Here is a 14,830-nt window from a genome sequence, read left to right on the forward strand (position 1 = left end):
CAACCTCCGCCTCCCAGGTTCCAGTGATTCTCTTGCCTCAGCCTCACCAGTAGCTGGGATTACATGGTGGCACACGCCACCATGCCTGGCTAACTTTTTGTATTTTTAGTAGAGACAGGGTTTCACCATGTTGGCCAGGCTGGTCTCGAACTCCTGAGCTCGTGATCTGCCTGCCTTGGCCTCCCAAAGTGCTGGGATTACAGGTGTGAGCCACCGCGCCAGGCCCTGGAGGATACTTAATAAATATTTGGAGAATTAATGTGTATTTCAATCTACTTTTTCTATGTGTTAGCAATAAAGAACTAGAATATCCAATGGAAATAAAATAGTAACTAAACCTATAAAATATTAGGAACAAAGCTATAAATAAACAACTAGAACATATAATGGAAATAATATAGTAACCAACCCTAAAAAACATTAGGAATAAAGCTATAAAACTGTAAAGCCATAAAGAAGACCTAAAAAATAGAGACAGACAATAATTTTAATAATAATAGTAACTAACATTTATTATGTTCTTTTAATGTGCCAAGAATTCTCTCAGATTTTTACATAGGTGATTTCTTTAATTTTCTCGGAAATTTCATGAGGCAGTTAACACTACTATCATCATCTTTTTTTCCTTCCTTCCTTCCTTCCTTTCTTCCTTTTTTTTTTTTTTTTTTTTTTTTTTGAGACGGAGTTTTGCTCTTGTTGCCCAGGCTGGAGTGCTATGGCACCATCTTGGCTCACCACAACCTCTACCTCCTGGGTTCAAGCGATTCTTCTGCCTCAGCCTCCCAAGTAGCTGGGATTACAGGCATGCGCCACCATGCCAACCAATTTTGTATCTTTAGTAGAGACAAGGTTTCTCCATGTTGGTCAGGCTGGTCTCGAATTCCCAACCTCAGGTCATCCGCCCTCCTCAGTCTTCCAAAGTGCTGAGATTACAGGTGTGAGCCACTGCACCTGGGCTATCGTCCATTTTTCAAAACAAGGAAACTAGGATATATCGAGATAAGGTAACTTTTTTAATGGAAACATGCAAAATGATAAATATGCTTATTTTTCCTAATTTACTCAATAACTTTACCCTGCAAATTAATGCAATGAATTTATAAATTAAAGTAATCACAGTCAAATTTTAGAGGACTGTTCACAGATCTTAGCACAACTATTCTAATGTTCAAGAAAAGAGAAAATGCTTTAAACAAAACCCAAGAAAACACTGGTAAAAAAGAAAATCAATTTAAAAAGTATTAAAATTATATTAAAGTTCAATAAAGTTGTCAGAGATGCTCAATTACTTACAACAGAACCTGACACATAGAAGACACTCAATAAATATTTGGAGAATTAATGTATATTTTTATCTATTGTTTCTATGATTTGCCCCAATAGATATAAAAACAAAATGTATAATCACAGTAATTAAATATGTATTATTAATTCAAGAATTGACAAAAACAGTTCAAGGAAGCAGATTAGAAAATCCAGAAACAGGTTGGGCACAGAAACAGGTTGGGCACAGTGGCTCACACCTGTAATCGCAGCCTTTTGGGAGGCCGAGGTGGAAGGGTTGTTTATGGCCAGGAGTTCAAGACCAGCCTGGGAAACATAGCAAGGAGGCTCCATCTCCATAAATAAATAAATAGCCAGGTATGGTGGTGCACATGCATGCCTGTAGTCCCAGCTACCTGGGAGGCTAAAGCAGGAGGATCACTTAAGTCCAGGAGTTTGAGATTGAAGTGAGCCATGATCATGCCACTGCACTTTGGCCTGGGTGACAGAGAAAGGCATTATCTCTAAAAAGATAAAAAATCTAGAAACAATACAAGCAAACATAGAAATTTAGTCTATTATAAAGATTATTTTCCATTCAGGAGGGAAAAATAAACCATTCAACAAATACCATAGGAATAATTTGCTAATGATATCAAAGAAATAAAGTTAGATTCGCATCTCATGACATGCAAAAATGAATTATTGACAGACAAAAGGTTGAAAACGTATATTCAAACACACAAGCACACACACATATAACACATACATGAACCTTCTGGAAAACTAATTTTATTATCTTGCAGTTTAGAAGACATTTTAAGCAAAATAAAACCCAGAGGCCATAAAGAAGTAAAATAAAAGATATGGCTACATAAAAGTTACATCTCAGCAACAATAACAACAAAAAGCATGAGAAAAGTTAGAGAAAATAAGCAGAGATAAAATATATATTAAGTATATATAGACTATCAAGTCTTAATACATTACTTATAAGTGTATAAGTAATGTATTGTACATTATAAGTATTATGTATTATAAGTGTACTTATATGTCAATTTAAAAACTATACCAGCTGGGGGCGGTGGCTCACGCCTGTAATCCCAGCACTTTGGGAGGCCAAGGCAGGTGGATCACGAGGTCAGGAGATCAAGACCATCCTGGCTAACATGGTGAAACTCCGTCTCTACTAAAAATACAAAAAAAAAAAAAAAAAAATTATCCAGGCGTGGTGGCAGGTGCCTGTAGTCCCAGCTACTCGGGAGGCTGAGGCAGGAGAATGCGTGAACCTGGGAGGCGGAGCTTTCAGTGAGCCCAGATCGTGCCACTACACTCCAGCCTGGGTGACAGAGCGAGACTCCTGTTTAAAAAAAAAAAAAAATACCATTCAGTGGTAAAATGGGCAATGGGCATAAATAGTCAATAGGGAAGAAATAAAAATGGCCAATGAACATTTGAAAATATGGGCCAGGCACAGTGGCTCACATCTGTAATCCCAGCACTCTGGTAGGCCAAGGTGGACAGATCACTTAAGGTCAGGAGTTCGAGACCAGCCTGGCCAACATAGTGAAGTACCGTCTCTACCAAAAATACAAAAATTAGCCAGGCGTGGTGGTGCATGCCTGTAGTCCCAGCTACTCAGAAGGCTGAGGCAGGAGAATTGCTGGGACCCGGGAGGCAGAGGTTGCAGTGAGCCAAGATTGCACCACTGCACTCCAGCCTGAGCAACAGAGCGAGACTCCATCTCAAAAAAAAAAAAAAAAGAAGAAAGAAGAAAAGAAAATACGCTTAACTTTATTGACAATCAGACAAGTGCAAAATATAACATAATACCTTTTTTGCCAATTAGATTTGAAAAATAGAAAATATTGATACTGATATTATCCAGTTTTGACAAGGGCATGAAGAAAACAACAGCCTCACACACTATCACAAGATTATAAGTAGGTAGGCTTTTTTAATGGGACAAATTGACTGTAATTCTGGTAGAATTACGAGATCATATTACATTTTGACAAATGCTTACAAAATGCACAAAAATATATGTCTTCATTAAAACATTGTTTTCAAATGCAAAAATAAGATCTACCAGTAGATAAATGATTAATACCATAAAATGATTTATACAATAAGTAGATCCTTATAAATCAACACAAAAAGACATCCAAGGCAAATTATTAACTAAAAAAGGCTAGGAGCTGAATAATGCAGTATTACATTTTGTTGATTCCAATTTTTTTTTTTTTTTTTGTGACAGAGTCTCGCTCTGTTGCCCAGGCTGGAGTGCAGTGGCACAATCTCGGCTCACTGCAGCCTCTACCCCCAGGTTCAAGCGATTCTCCTGCCTCAGCCTCCTGAGTAGCTGGGATTACAGGTGCATACCACCATGCCCGGCTAATTTTTGTATTTTTAGTAGAGACAGGGTTTCACCATGTTGGTCAGGCTGGTCTCAAACTCCTGACCTCGTGATCCTCCCACCTCGGCCTCTCAAAGTGCTGGGATTACAGGCATGAGCCACCGAGCCCAGCCCTAAAGATCATTTTTTAAAATACCATCACTTTTGAAATTGTGATGCATCATGCAATCAACAGTGTTTAATACTTATCATAGTAGCATCTTTTTCTTCTTAGAAGAACATAAAATGATGATGTGTCTTACAATTGCATCTTAGATTTCATGAAATACAGTAAATCACATGATCCCATAAAATATACTTATTTATATATCTAACAGACTGAGTAATTGAGAATTTACCTGATGCCTTTCTTGTGTACTAGTCTTAAGAAGAAATGAAGAAGGGGGAGGAGGAAAATTTTCTTCCTTTCCCTTTAAGGACAGCCTGGTCTTTGCATTCTTGAATTTGGCCCATTTATTCCAGGGGACTTTACAAACCTTTAATCATCAGATCTGTGGGTTAATAGCACTGTCCCTGAGAAGGAACGGATGGAGGCTTTTGTGTCTAAAGAGGAAGGGAGGGATGTAGACCAGCCCCAGGTCCTTGTGCCTAGGAGGAGATGGGAATTCAGGGTTTGGGTTAGGAGTAGGAAGAAAACTGCTTCCCTGAAGCAAGAGGGTGGGAGAACTGCTGCATGGGTGACTGTGAAGCAGATTGATAAGTATGTTCATTGAAGGCAGAGGAAAAGAGGTCTGCCATCAAATCATCAGGATAGCAGAGGTGTCCTAATAGAGTCACCTTCCATTACTAGCCTTTAGTGTTATAGGCAGGAAGCAAGCGGACAAGAAACACAATTAACTAGAGACCCAAGGTCCATCCTCAATCTTCCTGGGTCCCATAAACCCTGGGGTTCTAGATCAACCTCAAGGGAGAAAGAGAGTCCCCTTAAATAACTGAGACTAGATGTCTAGTCAGCAATGGTTGATAGGGGGCTGCAGCATGTTATAAAAGAAAATGTCCTCTTGTTTGCTTCTGGAGGTTCTGGACCAATTTGTACCAGAGATAGATGATAGATAGATAGATAGATAGATAGATAGATAGATAGATAGATAGATATAGATAGATAGATAGAGATAGATGATAGATAGATAGATAGATAGATAGATAGATAGATATAGATGATAGACAGATAGATAGATAGTAGATCAGTAGCACCATCTTAATGTATTTGCTTGTTTAACACATTTAATGAGCTCATCTTATGTGCCCAGAACTCAGCTGGGCCCAGGGGGATACCAGGGACAGGATGAAGTCTGCAGTCAAGGAGCTCATGGTCTACAAGGTGGCAAACCTTCCAGAAGTGGAGCATCTTGGTTGCATGTGCCCCCTTTTCCTCCCAGGTAAATTTGCCACTCCCTACTTGTTGTTGCCCCCGAGGGACTTGGCAGCGGGTGTGGCTTCTCCAACTCAGAACTTGAAGCAGTGTGTTTTAGGAACCTTGAAGTTACAGTTTTGCTTGAACTGTGTGCAGTGGCCCCAGCATGGCCTGTGATAAATTGCTGTCTGGGAATCAGCCACACCACTTCTCAGACAGCTGCTGAGAGTTGTCTGAGAAGAGTCATTTCACTCCGGGGGCAAAGGGCCTCTGTAGTCACAGTTACAGCGAAGCTGCGAGACAGTCTTCTCATTCATTCCTTCAAAAAACATTTGTTCTAGCCTTCACAGCAACAGTGACATACAATAAATATAGTTCTTACCCTCATGGAGGCAATACTCTAGTGGAGGAGATAGTTGTTCACAAACACAAAGGAACTGCATCGACTAAAAGGTGTTTCATTGGCAAAGGAGCTGAGTAGTATGAAGAAAAGGAACTTGGGGAGTGAAGCAGAAGTTCCTGGAGCTGAGGGAGGAGTAAGCTGACTCCCCTGAAAAACTGACTTGGCACTGAACTCTAAAGGTTGAGTGGTGTCATGTGATCAAAGAGGAAGGAAAATGGTACTAGGTCCAGGGGACAGCAAGTGCAAAGGCCCTGTGTTTGGAGGAAATGGAGAGGATTTGAGGACCTGAAAGAAGGCTTGCTTTGTAGCCAGGGATCGAAAAAGAGGATGTTTCCAAGACAGGATGGAGTGATTGGGGGTATTGATTGAAGGAGGAAAAACAGAAAATTATTTTCTTTGCTTTACCAGACAAAGTTGGCTTACATTTGAAGAGAAAAGGAAAGAGATGTACAAGTGACTAACCTGCTTCATCTAAAAAGAATTTTTCCAAAACAAAAATCTTCTTCTAAGTGAGCAGCATCCATTCACTTGGCGCAAATCAAGATCCTACAGTCATTCTGTCATTCTTCTCTCAATCTCCAGATCTTATCAACAATTATTTTGTTGTCAGTTCATCTCCCTTACATCATTGAAATCCATTCACTTCTCTCCAGCTGCTATGTCAGTACCTTGGTTCACGGCACCATCGACTCTTATCTTAGCATCTACAATGGCAACAAATTTACAATATTGTGATTGGCTTTCCTACCTCTAGCCTTTCCACACCACATCCATTCATTTGCCTCCATTGTAACCAGAAGTGATTTTTCTAAAGCATTAATCTCTCCCTCTTTTCAAAATCTAGTGTGTTTTACTTTTACCATTGTTCCAGAATAAAGCCCAAACTCCTTACCATAGCTCTTAATATCCCTTCTAATCTGTCTCTAGTAACTTCACTGCCATTCTCTACTCCTGCCATAGTAAGTTACTTATCTTGTGCTGGTCCCTTTTTGTTTTGTCTCATGGCCATCCTCCACACTACTGCTGTAATCAATCCATCTTTTGATATCACATCTGTGACCATGGTATTTCCCCAATTAAGACTACTCTGGGGTTCCTTTTCACTTGAGTATTACATTTGATCCCCTTAACATAGCAGACAAGACTCCTTAAGATATGACCCCTACCATTTTCTTCAGCTTTATTTTCTACCACTTTCTTGCTTTCCTCTAATTATTGTTCTTCATGTCCCTAAGATATTAAATTGCTTGTGATTCCCAAGACATACACTATCATTTCATGCCTCAATACATTTGCATAGATTCCCTCTGCCTGATTGTTTTTCTCATTGATGCTTGAACTTTTTATTACTCCTTAAAACACTATTCAGATTTTGAATATGTGAACCCAGAATATAATATCAATATAACTATCAATCAAGTATGAGAGTAATGACTTCAATTTTTACCGATTCAAAAGATTATTTTCCATATACTCTTTTTGAAAAACTCACTTGAGATGTATTCCAACAGGATGAAGGTAAAAACCAAGAAAGAGGAGGATGTGGAATAAAGAAAGAGTAAAACAAACTAAAAAGTTATAAAAAGGACAGGTGGACAGCTGTGCAGCTGGCTGAGATGAAATTATTAATAGTTCAAATTAGAACAGGAACCCAATGGTTCCAAGAAAAATGTCTTCAGAAAAATTTTTTAATGCTGCAGAATAAGCAAGAAGCTGGAAACTATTTGTGAAATGAAAACAAAACAAAGTGCTCCTTTTCATAATAAGGAAAACAAATAGAAACTCTAGGAGAATTTTTAAAACAGAAGGCAAAAACAAGAAAGTGAAATTAAAGAAATATAAAATGTTGCATGAGTTCAAGCAATCAATCATTTATAAGAGAAGATAATCCATTTCAGGAAACTATACCATGCAAACACCAAAAGAAAGCTGATACAGTGATACTAATATCAGACAAACACAATGGTAAAAGAGATTAGAAAGACGTTTTAAAAAGAATCATTTTAATATTAACTCTAGAAATATTCTCCCTCAAGTGATGTGGAGTCCATGCAAGAAAGTAAATGATATGAGGACAGGCAATTTGCTCTGTGTAATGCTAACACCTAAAACGGTGCCTGAGATATATCAGGGAATCGATAACTATTTATTTAATGAATGACTATGAACCAGTAAAGAAGAAAATATAGTTCTGGCACTGCCTGGCTTAGGAGGGCCCAAAATTTATAAATTGTAATAATACAAATGCTGTTTGCTGGTTTTTTTGTGTGTTTGTTTGTTTGTTTACCATTGAGAAGCAACATATGGACCTAACGGAGAGGACTAAAAGAATGGTTAGAGAATAATGTAAATGTTATCAACCCTGACAATGAAAAAGCAAAGGTATGACTGACCAAAGTTAAGAGGTAGAGAGAAAGTGGAGCTACGAATACATTCACCTTGAAAGTCAGAAGAAACAGTCTAAAGATGATAAAACTACAACTAGAGATTTATTTAGTGATATTTGAAGTTACAAAGGAAACCAGGACTAGGAACACCCTAGAATAATGACTATGAAACTTCTCTCTGTTATGTACCACGCCTAAGTGATCCTAACCAGTCTCAAGGATTGAAATATTATCTATGCACTGACAACTCCCAAATGTGGAGCTCCTGCTGGACTATATATATTATATATATATATATATATATATTTTTTTTTTTTTTTTTTTTTTTTTTTTTGAGATGGAGTCTCGCTCTGTCACCCAGGCTGGAGTGCAGTGGCGCGATCTCAGCTCACTGCAAGCTCTGCCTCCCAGGTTCACACCATTCTCCTGCCTCAGACTCCCGCGTGGCTGGGACTACAGGTGCCCCCAACCAAGCCCGGCTAATTTTTTTTTTTTGTATTTTTTTAGTAGAGACCAGTTTCACCGTGTTAGCCAGGATGGTCTCGATCTCCTGACCTCATGATCCGCCCACCTCAGCCTCCCAAAGTGCTGGGATTACAGGTGTGAGCCACCGCACCTGGCCCCAGACTCTTATATCCAACTGTCTATTCAACATTTCCACGTGGATGTCTACTAAACATTTCGAGTTTAACATACCCAAAATGGACTCCTAATTTCTCTACATAGCCAAGCCTATTCTCTCCACAGTCTTCCCTGGCTGGGTAAATTCAACTCTATCCTTCTAATTGCTGAGACCAAAACCTTTGGACAGGTCTTTGATTTTATTTTTCTCTCACATGTCATATCTGACTCATCAACAAACCTTGTAAGCTCTAACATTCAGAACTGTATCAAGACACCAGCACTTCCCACCTCACTATACAATGCTGCTCTAAGCCATATTATTCTCACCTGATCTCTCGGCTTCTGCCTTTGCCCCATTCTACAACATATTCTCAACACAGCAGCTACAGTGATCCCTTTAAAATGTGAGATCATGTCATTTCAAAACCTTTATTTCAAAAGCTAGTCTCACTCAGAGTAAAAGTCAAAGTCTTTCCCATGGCCTCAAGGCTCTATATAAGTGGACCCCATGATCTCTCTGACTCCATCTCCCAATCATTCTCTTCATCCTGCTGTTTCAGTCATCCAGGCCTCCTTACTGTTGCTGAAACACACGGAGAACATCCCAGCCTCAGACCCTTTGAACTTGCTATTCCTGTTATCTGGGATGTTCAACCCTCAGATAGCCACACGGTTCCGTTGCCTACTTCCTTCTGGTCTCTGATTAAATGTCACCTTATTTTGGAGACATTCCTTGACAATCCCATCTGAAGTAGAAACTCCCACCCTAGAATTTGACCCTAGTCTGTCTGGCTCCAGAGTTTGTGCTCTCAACTACTACATTACCTGGTCTATGAAGCTTTCAGATTTCTTTCATATTCTCTATCATATGCCCATCACCTAGGTTTTCCACAACAAAGGAGAACCTGACAGCTGTCCCTACAAGCAATAATCATTCCCTGTTAGAAACCAAGAGGAAGAAGGAACATTGCAAGCACTGATAATAAATTTTTTTCCTGGAAAAAAGACATAATTTTCCCCTAGTGTAAGAGAAACAAAGTGCATGGGAGGAAAATGTGTTACTAACTGTAGGAAGGGGCAAACTGGAAGGCAATTCTAAACATCTCCAGATGAGGGGACTCCAAGCCATCAGCATTACAGTCTACGTTGGAAGACCATGATATGCAACTGCTGTCATCTACGTGGAATTTCCCTCAATCATCTTTTAGAATTACAGCAGCTACGTGCTAATGTCTCAGAGACCTCTTGTCTTCAGAGATAGCTACACTCTCTTCAATTCTGCATGGCAGGCAGTATTTGGACAGCTCTCAAGGTACCCATTAGCTGGTGTGCATGTCTTGTATAGTCCTCATACTTGGAACATGGGCAGAACCTCTGAAGGTGATGAGAGGTAACTTCCATGACTAGGTTACATTACATGGCAAAGGTGAAAATATTTTGCAGGTATAATTAAGGTTCCTAAGCAATTGACTTTGAGTTCATCAACAGGGAGATTACCTGAGTGTGCCTGGTCTAATTAGCTAACCTCTTAAAAGAGAATCTCCTGCTGGCCTTGAGAAAGCAAACAACCATGTGCGAATTGTCTATGAAGGAGGCCGTGGCAAGGACTTGACGGCAGCCTCTAAGTACTAAAAGTGGTCCCTACTCACCAGCCAGGAAGAAAACAGGGACTTTAGTCCTACAACCACAATAACTGAATCTTGCCAACAACTGGAGAACTAGGAAGAGAATCCCATGACTTACCTCGAATCACGGTCGTGGCTGACACCTTGACTTCGGCCTGGTGAGACCCTGAGCCAAGGACCCAACTCACTGATACCAAGACTCCTGCCCCTTGGAAATGCTGAGATAATAAATTTCTGATGCTTTAAGCCACTAAATTTGTGATAATTTGCTACAAAACTATAGAAAACAAATGCATACTACGATGTCAATGGCAGTGTCTGTTTGGGTGGTGTTGCCCTTGTAAGAAGTCACTGGAGCCTAAAGGGTTACACCCCCAGGAACCCCATCCCAGGAGGGAGAAAAGATGCCAGATCAGGGCAATCCTATTTGAGGGAAAGGGATGCTATGAGTCTGTGAAGGAAGGTTTGGTGCTCAGCGACTTGGACAGGATATGAGCTAGGTTTACCAACACTTTGCAGAAATGACAATGGAAACAAGCAAATTCAAGTGCAGAGCAGAGTCTTGATATGTTACCAAACCAGTAATGCAATAGATTGAATGAAGGCTGGGAAAGAAGGGAAGAAATCACAATAAAAGTAATTGTCCTTATGCTTAGTTGACATGAGATCTAGCATAAGACAGAGCTGGGTTTAAATCCTCCACCCAATCTCTTAGCTCTTAAACAAGTGACTTGACTCACAGTTTCATCTTCCCTAAAACAAGCTTCAAAATACCTCCATCACCAGGTTGCTGTGACAATTAAGAGAACAGGTATAAACCCTCTAATACAAAGCCAGGTACACAATAGATACCCAATAAGTGGTAGCTATTACTATATGATCATAAAATATTGCCACATATATGCATTTTCTATGACTTTGTAACAAATTGCCACAAATTTGGTGGTTTAAAGTAATGCAAATTCATTATCTTGCAGTTTCTGTGAGGCAGGGATGTGGGCATGGGCTAGCTGGGCACTCTCACTTTAATAGGGGCAATTTCCCCCAAAAGCAGGACACAGAAATCAGGCTCACTGGGGAAGAGTGGTCCCAGCCACAGTGATGGTAATGCTTCCCTTAGAGATTCCTGCCCTCCATGCAGAAGTGACAGAGGGAGGGTCGGGATGGGGATGGTCGGGGTACAGAAATGAAAAGGGATAGGGGGAAGGCCTGATCTGTCCCCATCAAACACAGCTGTCAGAAAAATGGCCAGAAAGAGGATGGAGCCTGAGTCAGGGCCAAACACCTCTCCCACCTCTCTTCTCTGCATCTGAAGCTGTGCATCTTGCTATTTAATGGAACTCTCTAATCGAACAGTACTTACTCCTCAGCAAACAGACATTATTTCTGTACATCATTAAGTTCACTGTTATTTGTAATTCTGTAATTCTGAAAGGTTAACCCAGGCTCTTCCAGGGCTGGTTTCCCTGCCCCAGTGAACATTCATGGGTGGTCCATGTGCCTCTAAGGACTTGCCTACCTTCACTTAAATATTCTCCCTGAGTCGGGGGCATGGGGAATACTCAGAGAAGGGAGACATCAGCCTGGTTCCAAACAACCAGTGTCTGCATCATTATCACTGCAGTAACTCTGACATCCCCCACAGTATAGAGCATGAGGGCCGCCTCATAAATCCTGACTGGCTGGTTCATCAACTCACCTACCCCACCCTGCAGTGTACATCATCTGAACCAAGAGCACCCACTTGCCAGTTCTCTGTGCCCCATGCTCTGACACCCACCTCATCATCCCCGGGCTCCCATCAGTGGTGGAAGACTCATGGAGCAAGAAGGCCCAATTATCCCGCTCTCATGGGTAAGTTTACAAATCAGATTAGTGATAGGATTTGAGAGTAAAGCCAGGACTTCTGAATCCTTGTCCAGCCTGTTTTTACTCCATCCCACTTTCTATGCAGGATCTGTGGTCAGTGCCATCTATTTCCTTCTTCATCCTGGGTCATCTGTTTGTGTCTTCCCTTTCAATACATTGATACTCAAACCACGGAAGTTTCCCAAGTGCTACAGAGAAAGGGAGCGGGGCAGAGAAGTTTGCTTTGCATCCTCCTCTTGCAATCAGGGCCAATGCTATGAGCATGCAGCTGGTGCAATCGCACAGGGCCCTGTGCTTGAGAGGGTCTCACATTTACTTTACTGCTCTGCTGTTGTCCTCTTGAAACTCTTAGTAATTTTTGAACAAGGTGTCACACATTTTTATTTTGAATTGAGCCCCACAAAATTATGTCACTGGTCCTGTCTGCAATAAAGATGCAATGAACTTCAACATACCTTTGCAAATTGGAGGGAGACTAGAAATCCCTTTTCTTATTGGCCAAACATCAGGCATTTATTGTAATTCAGTGTCATATCAGCACTACCTTCAGTTAAACTAGGTTGATTTCATTGGCCTGCAGACCAATGAAGTAAACAAAAGAGAAGAAAGGATGTGTAGGAACAGCATGTAAAACATCGCAGGATGGCATCCCACAACGGGAGGATTCCTGAAAACTGCTCTCGGCTCCTTCCATCCACCTCCATCCTGGACTCCTCTCTACTCCCTACACACCCCCCTTCTCCACTGGAGCTGTGTCATTGACAACATTCCCTCGAAATCTCCTCCAATATATCTTGGCATGCCAGTTCTTTCCCTCATCTCCTATTGCTCATCTGTGTTTGTTAAATATTATTTGGCACATAGGAAGCTCTTCAGAAAAAGAGACTTGGATTGCAGGGGATGGGCGGTGGGCTTGTGATTTGCGCAGGAATGAGGCTGTGCTGGCTCTTCCCCGCTTCCTCATCCCTCCCCCACCCACATCAACACCATAACACAGACAGGCACACAAATGTGTTGAGAAAGAAATGCACCAGGGCCATAAAAACCTTTAGGAAACAAGGCCTGGTAGCTTACCTAGACTTAAAAGCTTGGATTGTGAAAGCAGCTAGAACCGAGGCTGTCGAATCCCCCTTCTTGTTTTCTAAACTTGTCTCTCTTCTTGGCACTACAACCAGTACCTTCACCAAGAAACTCTACCATTGGCCAGGGTCTGGCGGCACATGCTCTCTAAATGACTGATCCCCAAAAGTCTCTGTTGTGAAAAAGTAAAGCAATCATGCGGAGGAGCCTAGCTCTCCAGCCAGGGGCTCTGCTGCTCTCACCGTGTTTAATGAGCAGAACTTCTGATACCGCAGCACTTTTCTAGGACCTACGTGGAAGAAGGAAGTGGATTTCTGATTGAGAACTCCCAAGGTACAGGGCAACTTCTCCTTTCAACGTCGGACACCCACACTCCCCCACTCTCAGAATCCTGTTTCTGATCTTGACAATGACAATCCCAAGCATATTGATGACACTTCCTATTTCTCAAGACACTTACTAAGGCAGCATCCTATATGATCTTTCTGGCACCCTGGAGAGATAAGCAGGGCAACCCTTATTCCCATTTTACAGAAAAAGCAGCTGAGTCTAAATGATGCTTATGCTCTGCCGGCAGGAAACTCAGCCTCACACCTGTGGCAGCACATTTGAAGCCGTCATGCTGGCTTCTGTTTAAAGACTGAGTTCTCATGGCAAAATGTAATTGACGAGAAATTTGTTTCCTTCGGCTATTGAAGCACTGGCAATCATTTCCCATTTCCCTCTAACTTTAGGCGCAGGCCTGCCTCAGTGAGGCCATGCATTTCTCTAACTCGACATTGTTGTAAAAGACGCAATGGCTAGGTAAGACAACTCACTGAAAGGAGAAAGGAGTTTTTAAGGCTGGAGAAACAGAGACTGGAAAAAGAGGAGGGGCCTGAAAGAGCAGAGAGTGGTTCTGATTGAGAAGGAAAGGGGAAAATTATCCCAATTCTAGCACTGCTGGAAAATGGGAAAGTTATTGCTGCACAAAGACCCTCTCGAACTGCCTGCCTTCCAAAATTTCTACTGCACTCTGCAGTTACTTGTGTATGGCAGAAGCAGCATCTTTGTATTATATGAACAGTCTGCTTCATAATCAAATACCATCTGTCGCTACATCTGAACTTGTTTTCAACATCTGTGCGTTCTGGTCTTAACAAAGCTTTAAAAACTAATTCAAAAACTTTCATGGATCACTGACTAAATATGTACATTGACCATCTTTCCACACTGGTTTGCAATGTTTCTTCTATAGGTGCCTCCCTCTGCCTGGGAAGAGTGAAGACATATACACTTGGAGGCTTTATTAAGCTTATTTTGTAATGGCCTTGGGTAGCCAAGTGCAAGAGAGGGACACTTGCTTATGCACTGAGAGGACCCATCATATTCTTTCTTGGTGCCAATACGGTCCCTTTCTGCCAATGAGAAACCTGTAAGTTGATCAGCTACCATACCCCAATTACTCAAAATGACACTACAGATAAAACGGCAACCAAGGGGAGAATCAACTGTATGCTCATATGCAGCGAAAGTGTGTTTGAACAAATGGTGAAGTAAAACCATGAGAGCTCTCGGGAGGATAAGGACGCTGTTACTTTGCACATGCTTCAGAAATGTGAAGTACGTCTTTACAGAACTTTTGGCCAACCCCCTGGCAGATGTTGACCAGTTTTGCTTATGTATACGTCAGTTGCAGAACACTAAAACAGAGATTGGAAATTTTAATTTAGTCAAGGCAGTTGGGCTAAAATGATGGCTTTTGTTGAAACCATTAAATAGAGCTGCCTAATGAAGTACAGTACAGAGCTGGCAAACAGAGCCCTGATG

At 41.2% G+C, this 14,830-nt stretch overlaps 1 long non-coding RNA gene across 1 annotated transcript in view; it reads right to left on the reverse strand.

The window, feature by feature from the left end:
• Positions 1–892: 892 nt before the first annotated feature.
• LINC02775 (long intergenic non-protein coding RNA 2775) overlaps positions 893–14,830 on the reverse strand; it is a 58,251-nt gene continuing 44,313 nt past the window's right edge. The window contains exons 3-4 of the long non-coding RNA XR_922584.2: positions 5,899–6,140; positions 893–984 (exon numbers count right to left, since the gene is read on the reverse strand). This is a non-coding gene — a long non-coding RNA (long intergenic non-protein coding RNA 2775). The remainder of the gene's footprint in view (positions 985–5,898; positions 6,141–14,830) is intronic.

The sequence above is a fragment of the Homo sapiens genome, chromosome 1 (genome assembly GCF_000001405.40).
Source record: "Homo sapiens chromosome 1, GRCh38.p14 Primary Assembly".
Lineage (NCBI taxonomy): Eukaryota > Metazoa > Chordata > Mammalia > Primates > Hominidae > Homo > Homo sapiens.